This window comes from Homo sapiens, chromosome 9, assembly GCF_000001405.40.
Source record: "Homo sapiens chromosome 9, GRCh38.p14 Primary Assembly".
Taxonomy (NCBI): Eukaryota; Metazoa; Chordata; class Mammalia; order Primates; family Hominidae; genus Homo; species Homo sapiens.
Genome location: NC_000009.12, coordinates 83936877 through 83958926, shown reverse-complemented (window position 1 = coordinate 83958926; position 22050 = coordinate 83936877). Strand labels below are relative to the sequence as shown.

Sequence of the window (22050 nt, the reverse complement as noted above, 5' to 3'; positions counted from 1 at the left end):
TCACCTCACTGGAATCTCTCTGCCTCCTGGGCTCAGACGATCCTCCCACCTCAGCCTCCCTAGTAGCTGGGACCACTGGCGCATGCCACCACACCCACCTAATTTTTTGTGTTTTGGGTAGAGACAGGGTTTCCCCATGTTGCTCAGGCTGGCCTCGAACTCATGCACTCAACTGATCCACCCACCTTGGCCTCCCAAAAAGCTGGGATTACAGGCGTGAGTCACCACATCTGGCCGGCATTTGACTTTTTTCTATCAATAAACCTCAGTGAGAGAAAAGGGTCTAAGTTATTTACCCTTCTGGATTATTTTGCAGATTGCTAGATTTCCTTGCTAAATCAATTTGTCTCCCAAGACTTAGGTGCTGTGGTAGAAAGGAAAAATCCCAAGCCAACAGACTTACATTTCCTTAACAACTGTATTAATGTACTAGTGACTTTTTCTGGAAAACGTATCATAGTGGAGTCCTTAAAGTTCCTTTTTCTTACCAAAATGAAGAAACTGGAGTGATGAAGATCTGCTTTTCTAGGGTAACAGCTGTCAAATTTAAAAGCTCCATTTGGGGCCAGGTGTGGTGGCTCATGCCTGTAATCCCAGCATTTTGGGAGGCCAAGACAGGCGGATCACCTGAGGTCAGGAGTTCGAGATCAGCCTGGCCAACATGGTGAAAACCTGTCCCTACTAAAAATACAAAACTTAGCCGGGCGTGGTGGCGGGCACCTATAATCCCAGCTACTCGGGAGGCTAAGCCAGGAGAATTGCTTGAACCCAGGAGGCGGAGGTTGCAGTGAGCCGAGACTGTGCCACTGCATTCCAGCCTGGATGACAGAGTGAGACTCCGTCTCAAAAAAAAAGCTCCATTTGGGAGGCCGAGGAGGGTGGATTACCTGAGGTCAGGAGTTTGAGACCAGCCTGGCCCACATAGGGAAACCCCATCTCTACTAAAAATACAAAAATTAGTCAGGTGTGGTGGCTGACACCTATAATCCCAGCTACTTGGGAAGCTGAGGCAGGGAGAATCACTTGAACCGGGGAGGTGGAGGTTGCAGTGAGCTGAGATCATGCCACTGCACTCCAGCCTGGGCGACAGGGTGAGATTCTGTCTCAAACAAACAAATTTAAAAGCTCCGAATCCTCCAAAAATACCAAGATTTTCCTGTCGGTAACTAGAGATGGGTACTGATGATTATTTTTAATAGGTGATTTTCAAAGATGTGAACGTTATCCATGGAGATTTAAGTCTCCAAAAGGAAAAAAAATGCATACCTTTATACTAAAACTTCATCACCAGTCAAATTTGGATCATCACTAAATTGGCTTCTACACCTCTCTCCTAATATAAGGTACTTGTGTAAGTTTGCAGTTGTGAGACACTTATTTCCTCATTTTTAATGTCTTCTCAGTAGGGCCACTGATATAGTCACTATTTGACTGACCAGAATGGTTGGCACTGGTGATTGGCTCATAAAGTGCCCTCGATTTAGGGGGCTCAATTATCAAAGGTTTAAATCCTAGCCCAAACCATTGCTGTGATGGGGGTTAATCAATGAACCACTCAGCTTCACTTGCAAAAGCGGGATCACAATAGCCGCTTTCGTCATGACCCAGCCTAGGTGAGATTTAGTACTTAAGTACACTGCCAGGCACACAAGGTTAATTTAACAATTTAACACATTTGTTTCCTCATCCATTTCTCCAAACCTTCCAACTAATCCTAACGTTCGTTCGGCCAAATGGGCCAGGAATTCACTTAAACAAAAACAAAAAACAAAACAAACAAAAAAACACTCCCTGGGGCTTGGGGAAGGAGGCACCGCCGCCCATGTCGCAGTCTGGGGGTGGCTCAGTCCTCAGCACCCAGATCTACGGCCATAATGCTCTTCGAGGCCAAGGAGCCCGGATGCGGGGCGTTGCCGAAGGCGTCTTGCTCAGGCTGCGGGAAAGGAGAGGGGTGGGAGCGGGGTGGGGGCATCGCGACCCAGGGCAAGGCGGCGAGTCGCCGTCTTCGAGTCCCACCTGTCCGAAGCGGGGTGAGAAAAGGCAAAACATGGCAAAGCCATGCACCTCCCAGGGTGGGCAACTCACGGCCGGTGAACGCCGGACCCTTAGCAGTTTCCAGACCTTTGGAACCGGAAGCGGAGCCTGAGAGCGCGCCCGAGAGGGCGTGAACGGGACCGCTTTCCCGGAAGTGCTTGCGGCCTCTGCCCAGCGAGCTGCCCCGGGGTCTCTCTGGTTTCCTAATCAGGGCAACGCCGCGGGAGAGAACCTTTACCTTGGCTGCACTAAGTTCTCGGTGCCACTCCCTGGCAGGGCGGGACCTTGTTTAGGCCCTGTGATCGCGCGGTTCGTAGTAGCGCAAGGCGCAGAGTGGACCTTGACCCGCCTAGGGCGGGAAGAGTTTGGCCCGCCGGGTCCCAAAGGGCAGAATGGACGGGCTCCTAAATCCCAGGGAATCCTCTAAATTCATTGCAGAAAACAGTCGGGATGTGTTTATTGACAGCGGAGGCGTACGGAGGGTGGCAGAGCTGCTGCTGGCCAAGGCGGCGGGGCCAGAGCTGCGCGTGGAGGGGTGGAAAGCCCTTCATGAGCTGAACCCCAGGGCGGCCGACGAGGCCGCGGTCAACTGGGTGTTCGTGACAGACACGCTCAACTTCTCCTTTTGGTCGGAGCAGGACGAGCACAAGTGTGTGGTGAGGTACAGAGGGAAAACATACAGTGGGTACTGGTCCCTGTGCGCCGCCGTCAACAGAGCCCTCGACGAAGGTTGGTGCCATACTTGCCATCGGACCTAACGGCCTTTGAGGTTTCCATTTACTTGGGGTGTGTGTAGGGGAGTTCCAAGGAGCGGGTTGGGAGATGGAATAATGGAAAGCGAACCTGAAGTTCGTTGCAAGTCCTTATGCTTAAAATAGAAGTATGAAAAGGGGCATATTTTAGTGGAAAATGATGTTAATATTTATCATTGCAGCATAAAAGTTACAGTAGCATAAAAGTCAGTTTTATAAAGAATGCCATTTGAATGACACCTGAAGAACAAAAGGACCGATGTTATAAAGCAATTTACTCAGAATACATCTGATGTAATATTGCAATAGTTAGAAATGGGTGAATAAGTACAGATGAACAAGTAGAAAATGAGTTTTGCTTTAGATTTTTTATTCTTCCACTTTTGGTGCATTCCTATACCACTCATTTGGTTTCATATTAATTCCATGTTGTAAAAGCAAGGGTTTAATGCATATGGAAGTATGACATTGGTCCTCTGAATTTTATTTTTTCACTAAAGGGATACCAATAACTAGTGCCTCGTACTACGCGACAGTGACCCTGGATCAGGTTCGGAATATACTTCGTTCTGACACAGACGTTTCCATGCCTTTAGTAGAAGAGAGGCATCGGATTCTCAATGAAACCGGGAAAATTCTGCTGGAGAAGTTTGGAGGCTCTTTTCTCAACTGCGTCCGAGAAAGTGAGAATAGTGCGCAGAAGTTAATGCACCTGGTGGTTGAAAGTTTTCCTTCTTACAGAGATGTGACTCTGTTTGAGGTGAGTTGCTTCTGTTGGGGATTTTAGAAGTCTTAATCATCTCAGAGTTAACTCTTTTACTTCCAGAACTCATTTTAAGAATAAAAACTTAAATTTTTAAATGTATTCCTTGTGGAAGAAACTAACAAAATCAAGTAGTGTTTCAAAGTCATTTCTTATGTTTTCTTTTGTTTGTTTGTTTGAGACAGAGTTTTGCTCTTGTTGCGCAGGCTGGAGTGCAGTGGCGTGATCTTGGCTCACCGCAACCTCTGCCTCCCGGGTTCAAGCGATTCTCCTGCCTCAGCCTCCCGAGTAGCTTGGATTACAGGGATGCGCCACCAAGCCCGGCTAATTTTATGTATTTTTAGTAGAGACGGGGTTTCACTATGTTGGCCAGGCTGGTCTCAAACTCCCGACCTCAGGTAATCTGGTCGCCTCAGCCTCCCAAAGTGTTGTGATTACAGGCGTGAACCACCACGCTGGCGTCATTTCTTTCCTTTTTTTTTTTTTTTTTTTTTTTTTGAGATGGACTCTTACTCTGTCACCCAGGCTAGAGTGCAGTGGCGCGATCTTGGCTCACTGCAAACTCCGCCTCCCGGGTTCAGGTGATTCACCTGCCTCAGTCTCCCGACTAGCTGGGATTACAGGTGCCCGCCACTGCGCTAGGCTAATTTTTGTATTTTTAGTAGAGACGGGGTTTCACCATGTTGGCCAGGCTGGTCTTGAATTCCTGACCTCGTGATCCACCCACCTCGGTCTCCCAAAGTGCTGGGATTACAGGCGTGAGCCACTGTGCCGGGCCTTTTTTTTTTCTTTCCCTGAGATGGAGTCTTGCTCTGACTCCCAGGCTGGAGTGCAGTGGCACTATCTCAGCTCACTGCAACCTCCGCCTCCCGGGTTCAAGCGATTCTCCTGCCTTTGCCTCCTGAGTAGCTGGGACTACAGGCGCATGCCACCACACCTGGCTAAGTTTTTTTGTATTTTTAGTAGAGATGGAGTTTCATCTCATTTCTTATGTTTTCTAATCAATATTTCATTCTTTACTTCCTTTTTTTTCCTTTTAAAATGTTTCAAACCTAAAAAACATGGAACCCTCCATGTAATGTTCTCCTTATGGAAAATTAAGTATTTTTAGTACTTCAAGAAGGTTACTTTATTGGTTGAAGATCAGAATGTATACTAACCTCTCCCTAATAAAAAGTATTTCTGGCCAGACTCGGTGGCTCACTCCTGTAATCCCAGCACTTTGGGAGGCCTAGGTAGGTGGATCAACTGAGGTCAGGAGCTCAAGACCAGCCTAGCAACATGGTGAAACCCCATCTCTACTAAAAATACAAAAATTAGCTGGGTATGGTTGCACGCACCTGTAGTCCCAGCTACTTAGGAGGCTGAGGCAGGAGAATCGCTTGAACCCGAGAGGTGGAGGCTGCAGTGAGCCGAGATTGCACCACTGCACTCCAGCCTAGACGAGACAGAATTAGACTCTATCTCAAAAAAGTATTTCTTGAAAAGTTCAGTGTACTGTATATATATTTTGTGTTTTCTTTTTCATACACAGTGTACTTGAACAAATGATGATCATTTTGTTGGACCCTCACAGGCTGCACCCGGATTTTGTTTTTGTAAAATTCTTTTGGAATCTTTTGAACCTGGGAGGGGGAGGTTGCAGTGAGCCGAGATTACGCCACCGCACTCCAGCCTGGGTGACAGAGCTGGACTCCATCTCAAAAAAATAAAAGAAAAAATAAAAGAAATTGGCTTGGCGTGGTGGCTCACACCTGTAATCCCAGCACTTTGGGGGGCCAAGGCGGGTAGATCACAAGGTCAGGAGTTCAAGACCAGCCTGGCCAACGTGGTGAAACCCCGTCTCTACTAAAAATATAAAAATTAGCCGGGTGTGGTGGTGGGTGCCTGTAATCCCAGCTACTCAGGAGGCTGAGGCAGGAGAACCACTTGAACCCAGGAGCTGAAGGTTGCAGTGAGCTGAGATCATGCCACTGCACTCCAGCCTGGACGACAAGAGCAAGACTCTATCTCAAGAAAAAAAAAAAAAAAGAATTCAATTGTATTAGTGTGTTCTCACACTGCTATAAAGAACTGCATTTCATTTATAGCACAGTGCTTTGGTTTTGCTTTGCTGAAAAGTTCAATTTTTAAAAAATGTACCAGAAAGTGGCAGTATCTTGGCTCACTACAACCTCCACCTCCTGGGTTCAAATGATTCTCCTGCCTCAGTCTCCCAAGTAGCTGGGATTACAGGCATCCGCCACCATGCCCAGCTAATTTTGTATTTTTAGTAGAAACAGGGTTTCACCATGTTGGCCAGGCTGGTCTTGAACTCCTGACCTCAAGTGATCTGCCTACCTCAGCTTCCCAAAGTGCTGGGATTACAGGCTTGAGCCACCATGCCCAGCCAATCTGATACTTTTTTTTTTTTTTTTTGAGACAGAGTCTCACTCTGTCACCCAGGCTGTAGTGCGGTGACACCATCTCTGCTCACTGCAACCTCCGCCTCCCAGGTTCAAGCGGTTCTCTGCCTCCGAGTAGCTGGGATTCCAGGCACCCACTACCACGCACAGCTAATTTTTGTTTTTTTTTTTTTTTTTTCAGACGGAGTCTTGCTCTGTCACCCAGGCTGGAGTGCAGTGGCGCGATCTCAGCTCACTGCAAGCTCCGCCTCCTGGGTTGACGCCATTCTCCTGCCTCAGCCTCCCTCGTAGCTGGGACTACAGGTGCCCGCCACCACGCGCGGCTAATTTTTTTGTATTTTTAGTAGAGACAGGGTTTCACCGTGTTAGCCAGGATGGTCTTGATCTCCTGACCTGGTGATCCGCCCGCCTCAGCCTCAAAAGTGCTGGGATTACAGGCGTGAGCCACCGCACCTGGCCTAATTTTTGTATTTTTAGTAGAGACAGGGTTTCACCATATTGGCCAGGCTGATCTTGAACTCCTGACCCTGTGATCCACCCACCTTGGCCTCCCAAAGTTCTGGGATTACAGGCGTGAGCCACAGCGCCTGACCTAATCTGATACATTTTTAAATGAAAATTGGTACAGAAACCATTTCTCATGAGTACTTGTTTCTAACATACAGTTTTACAGAAAAATCCCCAAAATGGGCCAGGCATGGTGGCTCAAGCCCATAATCCCAACACATTGGGTGGCTGAGGTAAGAGGATTGCTTGAGCCCAGGAGGTCGAGACCAGCCTGGACAACACGTGAGACTCCATTTCTACAAAAAATTTAAAAACTAGCCAGGCGTGGTGGCATGCCTGTGGTTCTAGCTACTCAGGAGGCTGAGGCAGGAGGATCGCTTGAGCCCAGGAGGTGGAGGCTGCAGTGAGCTCTGATAGTTCCACTTTACTCCAGCCTGGAAGAGCAAGACCTTGTCCCCAAAAAAATAAATAAATAAAAATAAACAATTTGCACAAACTAGTCATGTGTTTTTAACGTATACCTATTTACTGAGATTATCATTCATTTTTAGACATGAACAGATTAATAAAGTTAACAATTTTTAATTTAGATAGATTTAGATCAGTGATTTCCCAACCTGGCTGTGCCCCAGAATCACTTAGGAGGCTTAATTCAGATATATTTCCAAAACACCACCCTCAAAGAGCCTGATGAATAGGTGAAAGAAGAGCTATTTTTTAAGCTCTTCAAGTTACTCTGATTTAGAGTAATGCAGTAACTTTGTAAAAGTTCTAATTAGCAAATTGGCTTTCTTATGACTATTACTGTTACTGTGACATACTGATAAATATAAAAAACATAAGCTTTTTGATATTTCAATAGATAACATTTTATTTTTTATTTTTAGTTTTTTTGTTGTTGTTTTTTGAGACAGAGTCTCGCTGTCACCCAGGCTGCAGTGCAATGGCGCAATCTCGGCTCACTGCAACCTCTGCCTCCCGGGTTCTAGTGATTCTCCTGCCTCAGCCTCCTGAGTTAGCTGGGATTAGAGGTGCGCACCACCACGCCAGGCTAATTTTTGTATATTAGTAGAGATGGGGTTTTACCATGTTGGCCAGGCTGGTCTCGAACTCCTGACCTCAGGTGATCCACCCGCCTTGGCCTCCCAAAGTGTTGGGATTACAGGCGTGAGCCACCATGCCAGCCTTTGTTTTTTGTTTTTTGTTTTTTGAGATGGAGTCTTGCTGGCGTGCAATGGCACAATCTCAGTTCACTGCAACCTCCGCCTCCCAAGTTGAAGCGATTCTCCCACCTCAGCTCCCGAGTAGCTGGGATTACAGGCACCCGCCATCATGCCTGGTCAATTTTTATATTTTTGTAGAGGCAGGGTTTCACCATGTTGACCAGGCTGGTCTTGAACTCCTGACTTCGGGTGATCTGCCCACCTCGGCCTCCCTCCCAAAGTGCTGGGATTACAGGCATGAGCTACCGCACTTGGCCTATGTTGTTCTTAACTTTTGTAATCCTTGAACTTTCTATTTATTCATGATAAAATTATGGAATAATTTTTTCAAAAAACTTAACTGTCCAGGTGCGATGGCTCTTTCCTGTAATCCTAGAACCTTGGGAGGCCAAGGTGGGTGGATCACTTGAGCCCAGGAGTTCAAGACCAGCCTAGGCAACATGGGGAAACCTCATCTCTGCAAAATAACAAGAAAATTAACTGGCCTTGGTGGTGAACACCTATAGTCCCAGCTATTCAGGAGGCTGAGGTGGGAGGATTGCTTGAGCCCAAGGAGGTCAAGGCAGCAGTGAGCCGTGATTGAGCCACTGAATTGAGCTACAGCCTAGGCAGCAGTGAGGCCCTGTCTCAAAAAAAAAAAAAAAAAGAAAAGAAAAGAAAAAAATTAACTCATGGTCATAGAGCTTTTTATTGACAATTATTTTATAAAGGTACGATTTAGAAAATATTTAAATCACAAAACAATATCATGAAACATGTAAGCAATTGTTATTTGGAGATTTACTAGTAGTTTTAGTGATACCAGTTAATATTTTAGAGATCCAGAATTTGATTACAAAAATCATTTGATTTCTAAAACCATAATGAGCTTACCAAGAAAATGTTTTATAGAGATGGCCAGGCGTGGTGGCTCATACCTGTAATCCTTGCACTTTGGGAGGCCGAGGCAGGTGGATCACAAGGTCAGGAGTTCAAGACCAGCCTGGCACACGTGGTGAAACCCCGTCTCTACTAAAAATACAAAAATTAGCCAGGCGTGTTGGCGCCCATCTGTAATCCCAGCTACTCGGGAGGCTAAGGCAGGAGAATGGCCTGAACCCGGGAGGCAGAGGTTGCAGTGAGCCGAGATTGCACCATTGCACTCCAGCCTGGGCAACAGAGCAAGACTCCGTCTCCAAAAAAAAAAAAAAAAATAGGAAAATGTTTTACAGATTACTTGAATTTATTTTTGATTCCTCCCTTAAATCTTTTTGTTCTTTTTTATATTAATATATTATTATATCTATTATAATCTATTCTTTATATATACTAGTCTGCTACCATGGAAACAGCAGTGACATGATAATTTACATGTTTTCTTAGATGCTAGCACTGATTTTATTTTTATTTTTTGTTTTTTTCCATGTGGGTTGCTATGTAAGTTTGATTTCTAGTTTTTTCCATTTTGCTCTATGAATCTTGTTAAAAATAGCAGATAATGGCTTCTATCTATTATAATAAACTTGATGGTGTAGTAATTGTGTTTAATAGACATTTTTATAAGTTAAGTCTTATGTCTTGCTGGGTTTTTTTTTTGTTTGTTTTTGTTTTTCCCTTGAGACAGAGTTTCATTCTTGTTGCCGAGGCTGGAGTGCAATGGCGTGAACTCGGCTCATCACAACTTCGGCCTCCCGGGTTCAAGTGATTCTCCTGCCTCAGCCTCCCGAGTAGCTGGGATTACAGGCATGTGCCACCATGCCCGGCTAATTTTGTATTTTTTTTAGTAGAGACGGGGTTTCTCTATGTTGGTCAGGCTGGTTTCAAACTCCCAACCTCAGGTGATCCACCCGCCTCGGCCTCCCAAAGTGCTGGGATTACAGGCATGAGCCACTGCACCCAGCCATGTCTTGTGTTGTTTTATAAACTAGACTTGAACTAGAAACCTGGTTGCCATATATAAATCCAGTTTATATAGAGGAACAATTGCCAAGTTGTCATATTTAGATAGGTTTAGGAATATAGGGTGATAGCATAATGTAGGAATGTTTTAAATTGTGATTTGTTCCTTCAGCCCCTTAATTTAATTTAGAGACATTACACCATTTTCTCAGAAAATGAGAATGTATACTTGCTCTGGAAAACAAATTCTGACTTTTTTTTTTTTTTTTAGTATTTATTGATCATTCTTGGGTGTGTCTTGGAGAGGGGGATTTGGCAGGGTCATCGACAATAGTGGAGGGAAGGTCAGCAGATAAACATGTGAACAAGGGTCTCTGGTTTTCCTAGGCAGAGGACCCTGCGGCCTTCCGCAGTGTTTGTGTCCCTGGGTACTTGAGATTAGGGAGTGGTGATGACTCTTAAGGAGCATGCTGCCTTCAAGCATCTGTTTAACAAAGCACATCTTGCACCGCCCTTTATCCATTTAACCCTGAGTGGACCCAGCACATGTTTCAGAGAGCACGGGGTTGGGGGTAAGTTTATAGATTAACAGCATCCCAAGGCAGAAGAATTTTTCTTAGTACATAACAAAATGGAGTCTCCTATGTCTACTTCTTTCTACACGGACACAGTAACAATCCGATCCCTCTTTCCTTTCCCCACATTTCCCCCCTTTCTATTCGACAAAACCGCCATCGTCATCATGGCCCGCTCTCAATGAGCTGTTGGGCATGCCTCCCAGACGTGGTGGCGGCCGGGCAGAAGGGCTCCTCACTTCCCAGACGGGGCGGCCAGGCAGAGGCGCCCCCCCCCTCCCGGACAGGGCGGTGGCCGGGCGGAGGCGCCCCCCACCTCCCTCCCCGACGGGGCGGCTGGCCGGGCGGGGGGGCTGCCCCCCACCTCCCTCCCGGACGGGGCGGCTGCCGGGCTGGGGGCTGACCCCCACCTCCCTCCTGGACGGGGCGGCTGCCGGGCGGAGACCCTCCTCACTTCCCAGACGGGGCGGCTGCCGGGCGGAGGGGCTCCTCACTTCCCAGGCGGGGCGGCTGCTGGGCGGAGGGGCTCCTCACTTCTCAGACGGGGCGGCCGGCCAGAAACGCTCCTCACCTCCCAGACGGGGTGGCGGTCGGGCAGAGACACTCCTCAGTTCCCAGACGGGGTCGCGGCCGGACAGAGGCGCTCCTCACATCCCAGACGGGGCGGCGGGGCAGAGGCGCTCCCCACATCTCAGACGATGGGCAGCCGGGCAGAGACGCTCCTCACTTCTTAGATGGGATGGCAGCCGGGAAGAGGCGCTCCTCACTTCCCAGACTGGGCGGCCGGGCAGAGGGGCTCCTCACATCCCAGACGATGGGCGGCCAGGCAGAGACGCTCCTCACTTCCCATACGGGGTGGCGGCCGGGCAGAGGCTGCAATCTCAGCACTTTGAGAGGCCAAGGCAGGCGGCTGGGAGGTGGAGGTTGTAGTGAGTCGAGATCACGCTACTGCACTCTAGCCTGGGCAACATTGAGCACTGAGTGAGCGAGCCTCTGTCTGCAATCCCGGCACCTCGGGAGGCCCAGGCGGGCAGATCACTCGCGGTCAGGAGCTGGAGACCAGCCCGGCCAACACGGCGAAACCCCATCTCCACCAAAAAATACAAAAACCAGTCAGGCGTGGCGGCGAGCGCCTGCAATCCCAGGCACTTGGCAGTCTGAGGCAGGAGAATCAGGCAGGGAGGTTGCAGTGAGCCGAGATGGCGGCAGTACGGTCCAGCCTCCCCTCGGCATCAGAGGGAGACCCTGGAAAGTGGGAGACGAGGGAGAGGGAGAGGCAAATTCTGACTTTCTTAAATGTAGCTTTAGAAGTTTTAATTTATTTAGTATAATAAAAATAGGTCTGGATCTGTTACAATAGGCATATCTTAAGGTTAAGCAATATTAGGTTATTTCTTGTTATGACAGGGTATCATTGGCATTTTCTTAGTAAATAAAAGAATCTGTAGTGTCATCTTAAGGAATTTTTATATAGAGCCTTTCCTTAAACTTTTAATCTCGTATTTATTTGTTTATGTCATTTACAAGTTAAAATATTCTCCTCCAAGGTGGTCAGGATATATTTTGGGAGCTAGTAATATTGATAAACATTTATAAAACATTATTTAAGGTTATTACTATTGGTATTAGGACTAGTAGTTGATTGTAATTATCTATGTTTTTCCATAATCTAGGCTGATTTGCATTTGTAGATTTACAGAGTGTTTTTGGGGTGTTGTTTTTTGAGATAGAGTCTCAGTTGCCCAGGATGGAGTTTAGTGATGTGATCACAGCTCACTGCAGCCTCTACCTCACAGGCTCAAGCAAACCCCCTGCCTCAGCCTGGTGAGTAGCTGAGACTACAGGCACGTGCCACCACGCCTGGCTAATTAAAAAAAAAAAAAAATTTGTAGGCCAGGCATGGTGGCTCATGCCTGTAATCCCAGCACTTTGAGAGGCCAAGGCACACGGATCGCCTGAGGTCAGGAGTTTGAGACCAGTCTGGCCAACATGGTGAAACCCCATCTCTACTGAAATATGAAAATTAGCCAGGTGTGGTGGTTGTAGAGACAGGGTTTCGCCGTGTTTTGTAGAGATGGAGTTTCATCGTTTTCCAGGCTGGTCTTGAACTTCTGGCTTCAAACAATCCTCTGGCTTTGGCCTCCCAAATTGATGGGATTACAAGTGTAAGCCACCACACTTAGCTAGAATTTTTTAGTTAAATTATAACCCACTAATGCTTGGTTAAATTTGTCTTTTCTATGTATAAATATAATTGGCTATTTTATTTTCATATTTGGACTTACATATCAACTTTGAGCATTTCCAAAATTGGTAAATATGATCATTTTCTAGCTGTTGATCAATTAATGTCTTCATAAAATAAGTTAATCATATTATCTGAAAGGAAACAGTTAAAAATGAATGTTGTGGTTCTCTTCAGACCTGAGCTTATGGATGATTATTCTTTGTATGTTGCTGTATTTTTTTTTAATTATTATTATTTTTGACAGAGCCTTGCTCTGTTGCCCAGGCTGGAGTGCAGTGGTGCGATCTCGGCTCACTGCAACCTCTGCCACTCAAGTTCAAGCAATTCTTCTACCTCAGCCTCCTGAGTAGCTGAGACTACAGGCGATCGCCACCACACCCAGCTAATTTTTGTATTTTTAGTACAGACGGGGTATTACCATATGGGCCAGGCTGGTCTCGAACTCCTGACCTCGTGATCCTCCTGTCTCAGTCTCCCAAAGTGCTGGGATTACAGGCGTGAGCCACCATGCCTGGCCTATACTTGGCTGTATATTATACAATTAATGTGAATTATATTGCAATCAGAAAAACAGACGTGTTTTAATTTAAGAAACTTTCAAAAGGAATGCTATCTACACATTTAAAATAATAAGCCCTTGGGCCAGGCACGGTGGCTTACACCTGTAATCTCGGCACTTTGGGAGGCCGAAGCGGGCAGATCACAAGGTCAGGAGATCGAGACCATCCCGGCTAACACAGTGAAACCCCGTCTCTTCTAAAAAAATTCAAAAAATTAGCCGGGCGTGGTGACGGCGCCCGTAGTCCCAGCTACTCGGGAGGCTGAGGCAGGAGAATGGCGTGAACCCAGGAGGCGGAGCTTGCAGTGAGCCGAGATTGCACCACTGCACTCCAGCCTGGGCGACAGAGCAAGACTCCGTCTCAAAAAATAATAATAATAATAAGCCCTAGGATTATATTGCAGAAATCTGTATATGAAGTAATGCCATTGAAAAAGAATAGTAAGTAGTATCAAGATTACATAAATTGTATTTTATGTGCCTTGAAAAATGGGAAGCGAGTTTGGAGTGATAGAAAATTTAATGTTCATTAAATCCTTTTGTTTCTTGTAAAAGATCTATGAATTTTTTTTTTTTTTTTTTGAGACAGGGTCTCCCTCTGTAACCCAGGCTGGAGTGCAGTGGTGTGATCACAGTTCACTGCAGGCTTGACCTCCCAGGCTCATGCGATTCTCCCACCTCACCTCCTGAGTATCTGGGACCATAGATGTGTGCCACCACGCCCAGCTAATTTTTTTTTTTTGTAGAGTTGGAGTTATGCCATGTTTCACAGGCTGGTCTTGAACTCCTGGGCTCAAGCAATCTGCCCACCTCAGCCTCCCAAAGTGCTGGGATTACAGGCGGGAGCCATGGTGCCCGGCCAATCTATAAATTCTTACCAACAAAGTAAGATTATTCTGCCTTTTAAAAAATGTTTCAACTGCACCTTTAAAAAATAGCATATATAAAGCTTTCAGATACTCAAATAACGTTTATATTCTCTTCATTCATCAGGGGAAAAGAGTTTCTTTTTACAAACGAGCCCAAATCCTTGTAGCAGATACGTGGAGTGTATTGGAAGGAAAAGGAGATGGCTGCTTCAAGGACATCTCCAGTATCACCATGTTTGCTGATTATAGATTACCTCAGGTTCTTGCTCATCTTGGAGCCCTGAAATACTCTGATGACCTACTGAAGAAGCTTCTCAAAGGTTTGCAACTTTAAGTCATTCTTTGTTATACTATGAATTGTTGGATCTCGGTTTAGTTTCTTTTACAAAAGGTCTCCTTTGCTTTAAAAAAAAAGTACTATTTATTGTTCATAGTATATGTAAAAAGGAAAATGCAAAGACAAAATGTAGAGAAAATGATTTTTCTTTTTGTTTACACTGTGAAATGTGGATATTGTAGAAAATTGTGCTATTTGAACATTATAATTTCATAGCCTAATGAAACCTAAATTTATGTTACATGAAAGTATGTAACACTGATAGTTCATCAGTTATAGTATTTGAAGAGTGTTAAGCTGAAGAGCACACTACATGGTTATATGAAGGTAGGTTGAAAGATAGGTAATATGAATTGGCTTTTGAGTGAAGAGACTCCAAGGTCTGCACTGGGATATCTTGCACAAGTCACTCACTTCCTTAGGCTTATTCGCCATTATTGGATATGATTATTGATATCAAGACTAGGAGCCTTATGATATATAAGCTTAGGTAAATTGGGTTGAAAAGTTTGTGTGAAAATTAGCTTATAACATTTCCTTGTATGAGGAAAATAATTATATGATTTTCATGTTAATTTCTCTTTTAGGTGCAAAATTTTCTGCTACTTTTTTCTTTATTTTATTTTATTTAAAAAATATGTTGCCCAGGTTGGTCTTGAATTCCTGGGCTTAAGCAGTCTTCTCACTTCAGCCTTCCAAAGTGCTGGGATTACAGGCGTGAGCCACTGCACCTGGCCTCTTTATGTTTGTTTGTTTGAGACGGAGTCTCACTCTGTTGCCCAGGCTAGAGTGCAGTGGTGCGATATTGGCTCACTGCAAGCTCCGCCTCCCAGGTTCAGGCCATTCTCCTGCCTCAGCCTCCCGAGTAGCTGGGACTACAGGCGCCCGCCACCACACCTAGCTAATTTTTTGTATTTTTAGCAGAAACGGGGTTTCACCGTGTTAGCCAGGATGGTCTCGATCTCCTGACCTTGTGATCCACCCACCTCGGCCTCCCAAAGTGCTGGGATTACAGGTGTGAGCCACCACCCCGGCCTTATGTATTTTTTTAAAAGAAGTAGATTCTATGATTGAATAATTTCCTCTTGTGAAATAGATTTGAATCCCCCAGATCAGAATAACACAGAATATAAAGGTACCATTATTCCTATGGTTGGCTCTACTGGGTTTTTATGCTGCCATGGGCAATCTGTTTTGTCTTCCATTTCCTCATTTGAAAAAGAACATGCTATTTTTTGTCATCATGCCCATGTCAAGGGTCACTAATTGTTGGATACCTTTAAAAGGGACAACATTTAGCAATCAGGGCTTATTTTTCATATGGCCATATTAAGCTGCTTTTTTTTTGTTTTGTACACACTGTTCATTCCTGTCTCTGAGTATTCTCTTACGTGGTTTCCATCGTCCAGTGTTCTTTCTTTTTTTTTTTTTTTTTTTTTTTTTTTGAGACGCTCTGTTGCCCAAGCTGGAGTGTGGTGGCGTGATCTCGGCTCACCAGAACCTCCGCCTCCCAGGTTCAAGCCATTCTCCTGCCTCGGCCTCCTGAGTAGTTGGGATTACAGGCGCATGCCACGATGCCTGGCTAATTTTTGTATTTTGAGTAGAGACGGGGTTTCACCACACTGGTCATGCTGGTCTTGAACTCCTGACCTCATGATCCACCCTCCTCAGCCTCCCAAAGTGCTGGGATTACAGGCGTGAGCCACCACGCCCAGCTTCTTTTTTTCAATTCAAATCCTATACATCACAGAGGCTTCACTCAAATGCTGTCCTCACTTATAGTGATTTGTCCATCTCCTTCTCAGTTTTTATGGCACTTAATTGTCTCTGCTACTATGAGAAAAACCCTAGTGAGAAGGGATCATCCAGCATAGTTGTACAGAGATGTCAGAATTTTCTTCTCCCATCCATTTCAACTCCAGAGGCTCTTTTCCAATATCCACTGGCACTCATTACTGCCTCCATTTATGCCTTGCTTCTAAAAGGGTACTCTCCTATCCGTAGCTAGTTTGATACAGGGTGGACAAATTCTTTTGCCACTTAGTGCATTTAAGTAAAATTTGGATTTTGTTTTCCAAAAGGTATGTTACTGCAAAACTAGACCAAAAATAAACAAACTGTAAATGTAATGTAACAAACATAAGTATAGTGTACTCATTTTTAAAAACTACCTTAAGTGAAATCTAGGACCAGCTTAATTTGACCAGGTGAGGTAGGACCTTCCTTAACTGGCTTCCAATGGTACTTCCAAACTTGAGGATTTGCTACATTTATATTCTTTCCCTTCTCCCCTCATCTGGGTATCTCAGGGACAACCCTTGGAAGTGCCACTTAGATTTCTGTCCACTGTCTTTAACCCATCTCTTCACCAAAGACGTAGTACTTGGCCAATTATAAAGACTAACAATGCAATTTAACTAAAGTTAGCTTTTCACTGTGATTCCAGGGCCAGTTTTTAGACCAAATACCTGGGCCATATTACCTTCCCTGACTCTAATCTATGTCAGTCCACTTAAATGTCTTTTTCTGTCTGAAGTCCATGTTCTATCCCATACTGTAAGTTGCTGCATTAGTTATTACATTAGTTTCCTAGGGCTGACATAACAAATTACCACAAACTAGATGGCTTCAAGGAACAGAAATGTATTGTGTCACAGTTCTGGAGACTGGAAGTCTGAAATCAAGATGTTGGCAGGACCATCCTTCCTCTAAAGGCTCTTGGGAATAATTCTACCTTGCCTCTTTCCAGTACCTTGTGGCTCCAGCAGTCCTTGACATTCCTTGGTTTGTAGCTGCATCACACCAATCATGGCCTTCTTATCCTTGTGTCTCCTGTCTCTTTGTATCCTCTTTTCTTCTTTTTTTTTTTTGAGACGGAGTTTTGTTCTTGTCGCCCAGTGCAATGGCGCCATCTCAGCTCACTGCAACCTCCTTCTCCCGGGTTCAAGTGATTCTCCTGCCTCAGCCTCCTGGATAGCTGGGATTACAGGTGCCCACCACCATGCCTGGCTAATTTTTGTATTTTTGGTAGAGACAAGGTTTTACCATGTTGGCCAGGCTGCTCTCGAATTCCTAACCTCAGGTGATCCACCCGCCTTGGCCTCCCAAAGTGCTGAGATTACAGGCATGAGCCACTGCACCCGACCTGTATCCTCTTCTTTTCTTGCTTGCTTTCTTTTTTGTTTAGAAACAGGGTCTTACTCTGTCACCAAGGCTGGAGTGCAGTGGCATGATCATAACTCACTGCAGCTTCAAACTCCTGGGCTCAAGCGATCCTCCCTTCTCAGCCCCAGCCTCCTGAGTAGCTGGGGCTACTAGAGGTGCATACCACCATGCCTGGCTACTTTTTCCATTTTTTGTAGAGAAGGGGTCTCACCTTTCCTTCATTGGATTTAAGGTTGATCCTAATCCAGTATGACCTCTTCACCTGATTACATCTGCAAAGTCCCTATTTCCAAACAAAGTCAAAGTCACAGGTACCAGGTGTTATGACTTGAATGTATCTTTTTATGAGCCACAGTTCAACCCACTACTATTATCTATTGCTGTGTAACAAATTACGCTAAAATTTAGTGGTTAAAACAACAGACATTTATGATCCTGGGTCAGGAACCTGAGTGCTGCTTAACTTTGTACCTCTGCCTCAAGGTTACAGTCCAGCCGCCAAGTGGAGCAGTGTCTTACCTGATAGCTCTACTCGGGTGGGAGCGTCTGCCTCCGTGGCCACTCTGTTGGCTGATTTGGCAGTTTTAGCAAGTTGATAGTCAAATTTGGAGGAAATGATTAACAGCAAAACTGAAGAGGAAGGTATGGGCTTCTATGCTAGCACCTGGGGCAAAGTAAGGAAATGGAGGAACCTGGTTAATCACTGTTTCCCCACCTGTTCCACTGACCAGTGCCTAAGCCCATGGGAGAGTTGGATGGAGGGGGCATAAGTAACACTACTTAAGGTCACAAGATATCCTGGGTACTGTGAGACTTTGTGCATGGGTGCAGTTTGGTGGCCAGAGGCCAAATACAGCTTGCAGTTGTGTTAGGTTTGGCCTGAAAAATGGCCTAGCAATTTTTAATTAGTTTCCAACACTTGAAAATTAGGAGATTTCACATAAAAATCAAACTTCCTGACTTCTCTCATAAGAAAAATATGGAAACACACAGTACCTTTGCATAGTACTATGTACACTACCTCGCTCACTACAGTTTGCATCTGGCTGCTGCATATAGACATGGGTCCATGAGTCCTACTCTAGTCTCAGTGGTAAGACACAGCCAGTGCCTACCTTGCAGGATCAGATATTCCCAAAATAAATATTTATTTATTTTGGAGATACGGTTGGTTCTGTTGCCTAGACTGGAGTGCAATGGCGTGATCTCGGCTCACTGCAACCTCTGTCTTCTGGACTCAAGCGACCCTCCCACCTCAACCTCCCGAGTAGCTGGGACTACAGGCAATACTACCATGCTGGGACTACTACTCCTGAGTAGTTGGGACTACAGGCACATACCACCATGCCTGGCTAATTTTTGTATGTTTTGTAGAGACAGGGTTTTGTCATGTTGCCCAGGCTGGTCTTGAACTCCTGAGCTCAAGTAATCCTCCTACCTCAGCCTCCCAAATTGCTAGCATTACAGAGGTGAGGCACTGCACCCAGCCTACAATAATTTTATTTCTGGTATCAAACCCAATTTTAAATTCCATCTTTTTAATAACTAGCAGTCATAGTTTTAAATTTATGGTTACCACTTACTCATTTATCAAATATTTATTGGGGAGCTAGTATGTGCAAGGTGCTATGCTAGCTCCTGGGAATATTGAGACAAGCCAGATATGGCCCCTGTCTTTGTGGAATTTAACTTGTAATTTAAAATCAGTGCGAAAGTTTTGAAATGATTTAAATTACCAAAAATAACGTCTGAGATTTACAGTTTTAAAATGAGTACCATTTAAATACTCTGTTTTGTTCTACAGGAAAGTTCAAGTAGATTATGTATCATTGACTATTAATTTTTCTTACTGCTTTTCCCCCTTGCAGGAGAAATGCTCTCATATGGAGACAGGCAAGAGGTGGAAATCAGAGGGTGCTCGCTTTGGTGTGTTGAGCTGATCCGGGATTGTCTTCTGGAGCTTATTGAACAAAAGGGTGAAAAACCTAATGGAGAGATCAATTCCATTCTTCTGGATTATTACTTATGGGACTATGCCCATGACCATAGGGAAGATATGAAAGGAATTCCGTTTCATCGCATACGTTGCATATATTATTGACCTCAAGTGTAAACTGATCCAAAGAAAACCCCCTGCGTTTTATATCATATCATCTGTACAGTTTTGCTTTGATATTTAGAGAACATGATCGAGGTTATAGGAAATTGATTGCCCATTCTCACTTGAAAAATACTTCCTAGGCCGGGCACAGTGGTTTATGCCTGTAATCCCAGCACTGTGGGAGGCTGAGGCGGGTGGATCATCTGAGGTCAGGAGTTTGAGACCACCTGGCCAACATGGTGAAACCCCATCTCTACTAAAAATACAAAATTAGCTGGGCGTGGTGGCACGTGCCTGTAATCCCAGTTACTTGGGAGGCTGAGGCAAGAGAATCGCTTGAACTCAGAAGGTGGAGGTTGCAGTGAGGCGAGATTAGGCCATTGCACTCCAGCCTCAGCAACAAGAGTGAAACTTTGTCTCAAAAAACAACAACAACAACAACAACAACAACAAAACTTCCTAGGCCAGATGTGGTGGCTCATATGTATAATCTTAGCACTTTGGGAGGCCAAGGCAGGAGGATTGCTTGAGGCGAGGAGTTCAAGACCAGCCTAGGCAACATAGGGAGACCCCCATCTCTACAAAAATTTAAAAATTAGCCTAGCATGGTGGCACGCTCTGTAATCCCAAATACGCGGTAGGCTGAGGCTGAGGAGGGTGGATTGCTTGAGCCCAGGGGTTTGAGGCTGCAGTGAGCCACAGTCACGCCACTGCATTCTATCCTGGGCAACAGATGGAGACCTTGTCTCAAAAAAAAAAAATTCCTGACATCGCTATGTATTCCCAACTTTATCATTTGTCTGCCTGTTTAGTTTTGACTTATGTTTTTTTTTTTTCCCCCCTGTGGACATGTAGTTGACGGAAATCGTGAAGGAACTTTAATATTTTATTTAAATTTCCCAAAACTAATCATGCCTTATGTGACTAATCTTCAGTGATAATATTTCATCTACTGATATATTTTCTTGAGGTGTGTAATTTTCAGTATACCTTAATCATTTGGTATAAAAAAGAGAGAGGTTTTTGATATATGAATGCTGTTCTTGTAAAAATCAATCTTGACACTTTATTTTAAACTTTTTATTGGTAATGACAGTGGGTTTTGTACATCATGATTTTCAATTTAGGATATCTGTCTAATTTGTTTTTTCAGAGTAACTATATTGGAATTCAATAAAAATATTCAAAATTTTTCTTAAACCTGGAATGGATTATTTCATTAAAATAGAATTTACTATATATAATTTTAAAAGGTTTACTGTAAGTTAGATTATTTACCTTCTGCTGCAGAACTCTCATTACCTGTCAAGTACTCATTTCCCACCACCCCCGCCACATTCCTTCTAACAGAATCTTGATTTTGTTAGGTATCTACCTTGTCTGCTTGCTGTGACTTCAGAAAAGTCAGAAAAAGATGCCCTTTTCCCAAGCACTTTACTGCCATCTGCTGGAAATTTGTCATAATAACCTTACAAATGACTGTGAGTGAGGCCTCCTGGAGTTGTGCACTACACAACTTGCACAACCATAGGAGTGGTCCTGTGTCTATCCCTGTCCTGTATGACTCAGGGGATGGTGATCCCATCCCCAGTTCTGGAGGTAGATCTTGTATGAATGGTTTACTATTCCTGGTCACTTTACTCTCCTTGCCTGTGATTGCTTTGATAATGGGTATATAATCTAGTTCTGGACAGTGACACTGGATGACAAGTCTGCTGGGAAGCTTCTAGAAAAGGATTCTTCACTTTTAAGAAAGAGATATAGGACAAAGTTCCCTTTTCTTCCTCTGAGCAATGCTTTTAGCATGATACCTGCTATCATGCAGGTAGCCATTTTGTGGAGCTAGAGCCCAGCTATACTTTCCATGCCTGAGCCCATCCTATCCATGGACTTCATACTTGAGATAATAAACACATTACCTTATTATTTCCAGCATCTTGAATTAGTTTTCTGTAACTTGTACCAGAAAGCATCATAACAGTTTCCAGTGTAATCTCTGGGCCTCTGCTCCTGCCACCCTTCTGGCACTTCCTGTCTTCCCTTCCCCCTTTCCCTCTTCTCCTCCCCTTTGCTTCTCTGCCCTCCTCCTTCTTCTTCCCTTCTTTCCCCTCCCCCCTCTTTTTCTTCTCCTTCTCCACTCTCTTTTTTTTTATTTTTTATTTTTTATTTTTTTAGAGATGGTCTCACTGTCACCCAGGCTGGAGCACAGTCGTGAGATCATAGCTCATTGTAACCTTGAACTCCTGGGCTCAAGCAATCCTCCCAAAGTGCTGGGACCACAGGCGCATGCCACTATATCTGGCTAATTTAAATTTTTTGTAGAGATGGGGTCTCACTATGTTGCTCAGGTTGGTCTCGAACTCCTAGGCTCAAGCAGTCCTCCTGCCACTGGCCTTCCAAAGCACCGCGTTTACAGCTGTGAGCCATGGTTTCCCAGACCCAGCTGCCTTTTCTCTTCTGCCACTGAGCATAACCTGGAATCAATCCTGGATGCCTGCATTCTAATCTAGCCAGCAGGATTGAAGCAATAAAGAAGAGTAGAAAGAAAGGGTTGAAGCCAGGTGCAGTGGCTCGCTCCTATGGTCCCAGCCACTGTGTGGTGGGGAGGAACTGAGGTAGGAGGATCCCTTGAAC

General features: G+C 44.9%; 1 protein-coding gene across 3 annotated transcripts; it reads left to right on the top strand.

Moving 5' to 3' along the window:
• The first annotated feature begins 1940 nt into the window (after positions 1 to 1940).
• QNG1 (Q-nucleotide N-glycosylase 1) lies at positions 1941 to 20616 on the top strand. Of its 3 annotated transcripts, NM_001317997.2 has the most exons (5): positions 1941 to 2030; positions 2673 to 2763; positions 3287 to 3546; positions 13938 to 14133; positions 19184 to 20616. In NM_001317997.2, the coding sequence occupies exons 3-5, from the start codon at positions 3373 to 3375 to the stop codon at positions 19414 to 19416; spliced, it is 603 nt and encodes a 200-aa protein (NP_001304926.1). In that variant the 5' UTR covers positions 1941 to 2030; positions 2673 to 2763; positions 3287 to 3372; the 3' UTR covers positions 19417 to 20616. The 3 variants fall into 3 exon arrangements, with proteins under 3 accessions (NP_001304926.1, NP_115683.3, XP_005252328.1); NM_032307.5 differs by lacking the exon at positions 1941 to 2030 and having other exon boundaries at positions 2185 to 2763; XM_005252271.5 differs by lacking the exons at positions 1941 to 2030; positions 13938 to 14133; positions 19184 to 20616 and adding an exon at positions 5084 to 5275 and having other exon boundaries at positions 2185 to 2763.
• The last annotated feature ends 1434 nt before the right edge of the window (positions 20617 to 22050 follow it).

Bases quoted from the DNA above. Each gene is read 5' to 3' on its own strand.
- QNG1 (NM_032307.5), top strand. From the start codon at position 2,427: ATGGACGGGCTCCTAAATCCCAGGGAATCCTCTAAATTCATTGCAGAA. The intron at 3,547-13,937 runs GTGAGTTGCTTC...TTCATTCATCAG, and splicing joins GAGATGTGACTCTGTTTGAG to GGGAAAAGAGTTTCTTTTTA. The intron at 14,134-19,183 runs GTTTGCAACTTT...TCCCCCTTGCAG, and splicing joins ACTGAAGAAGCTTCTCAAAG to GAGAAATGCTCTCATATGGA.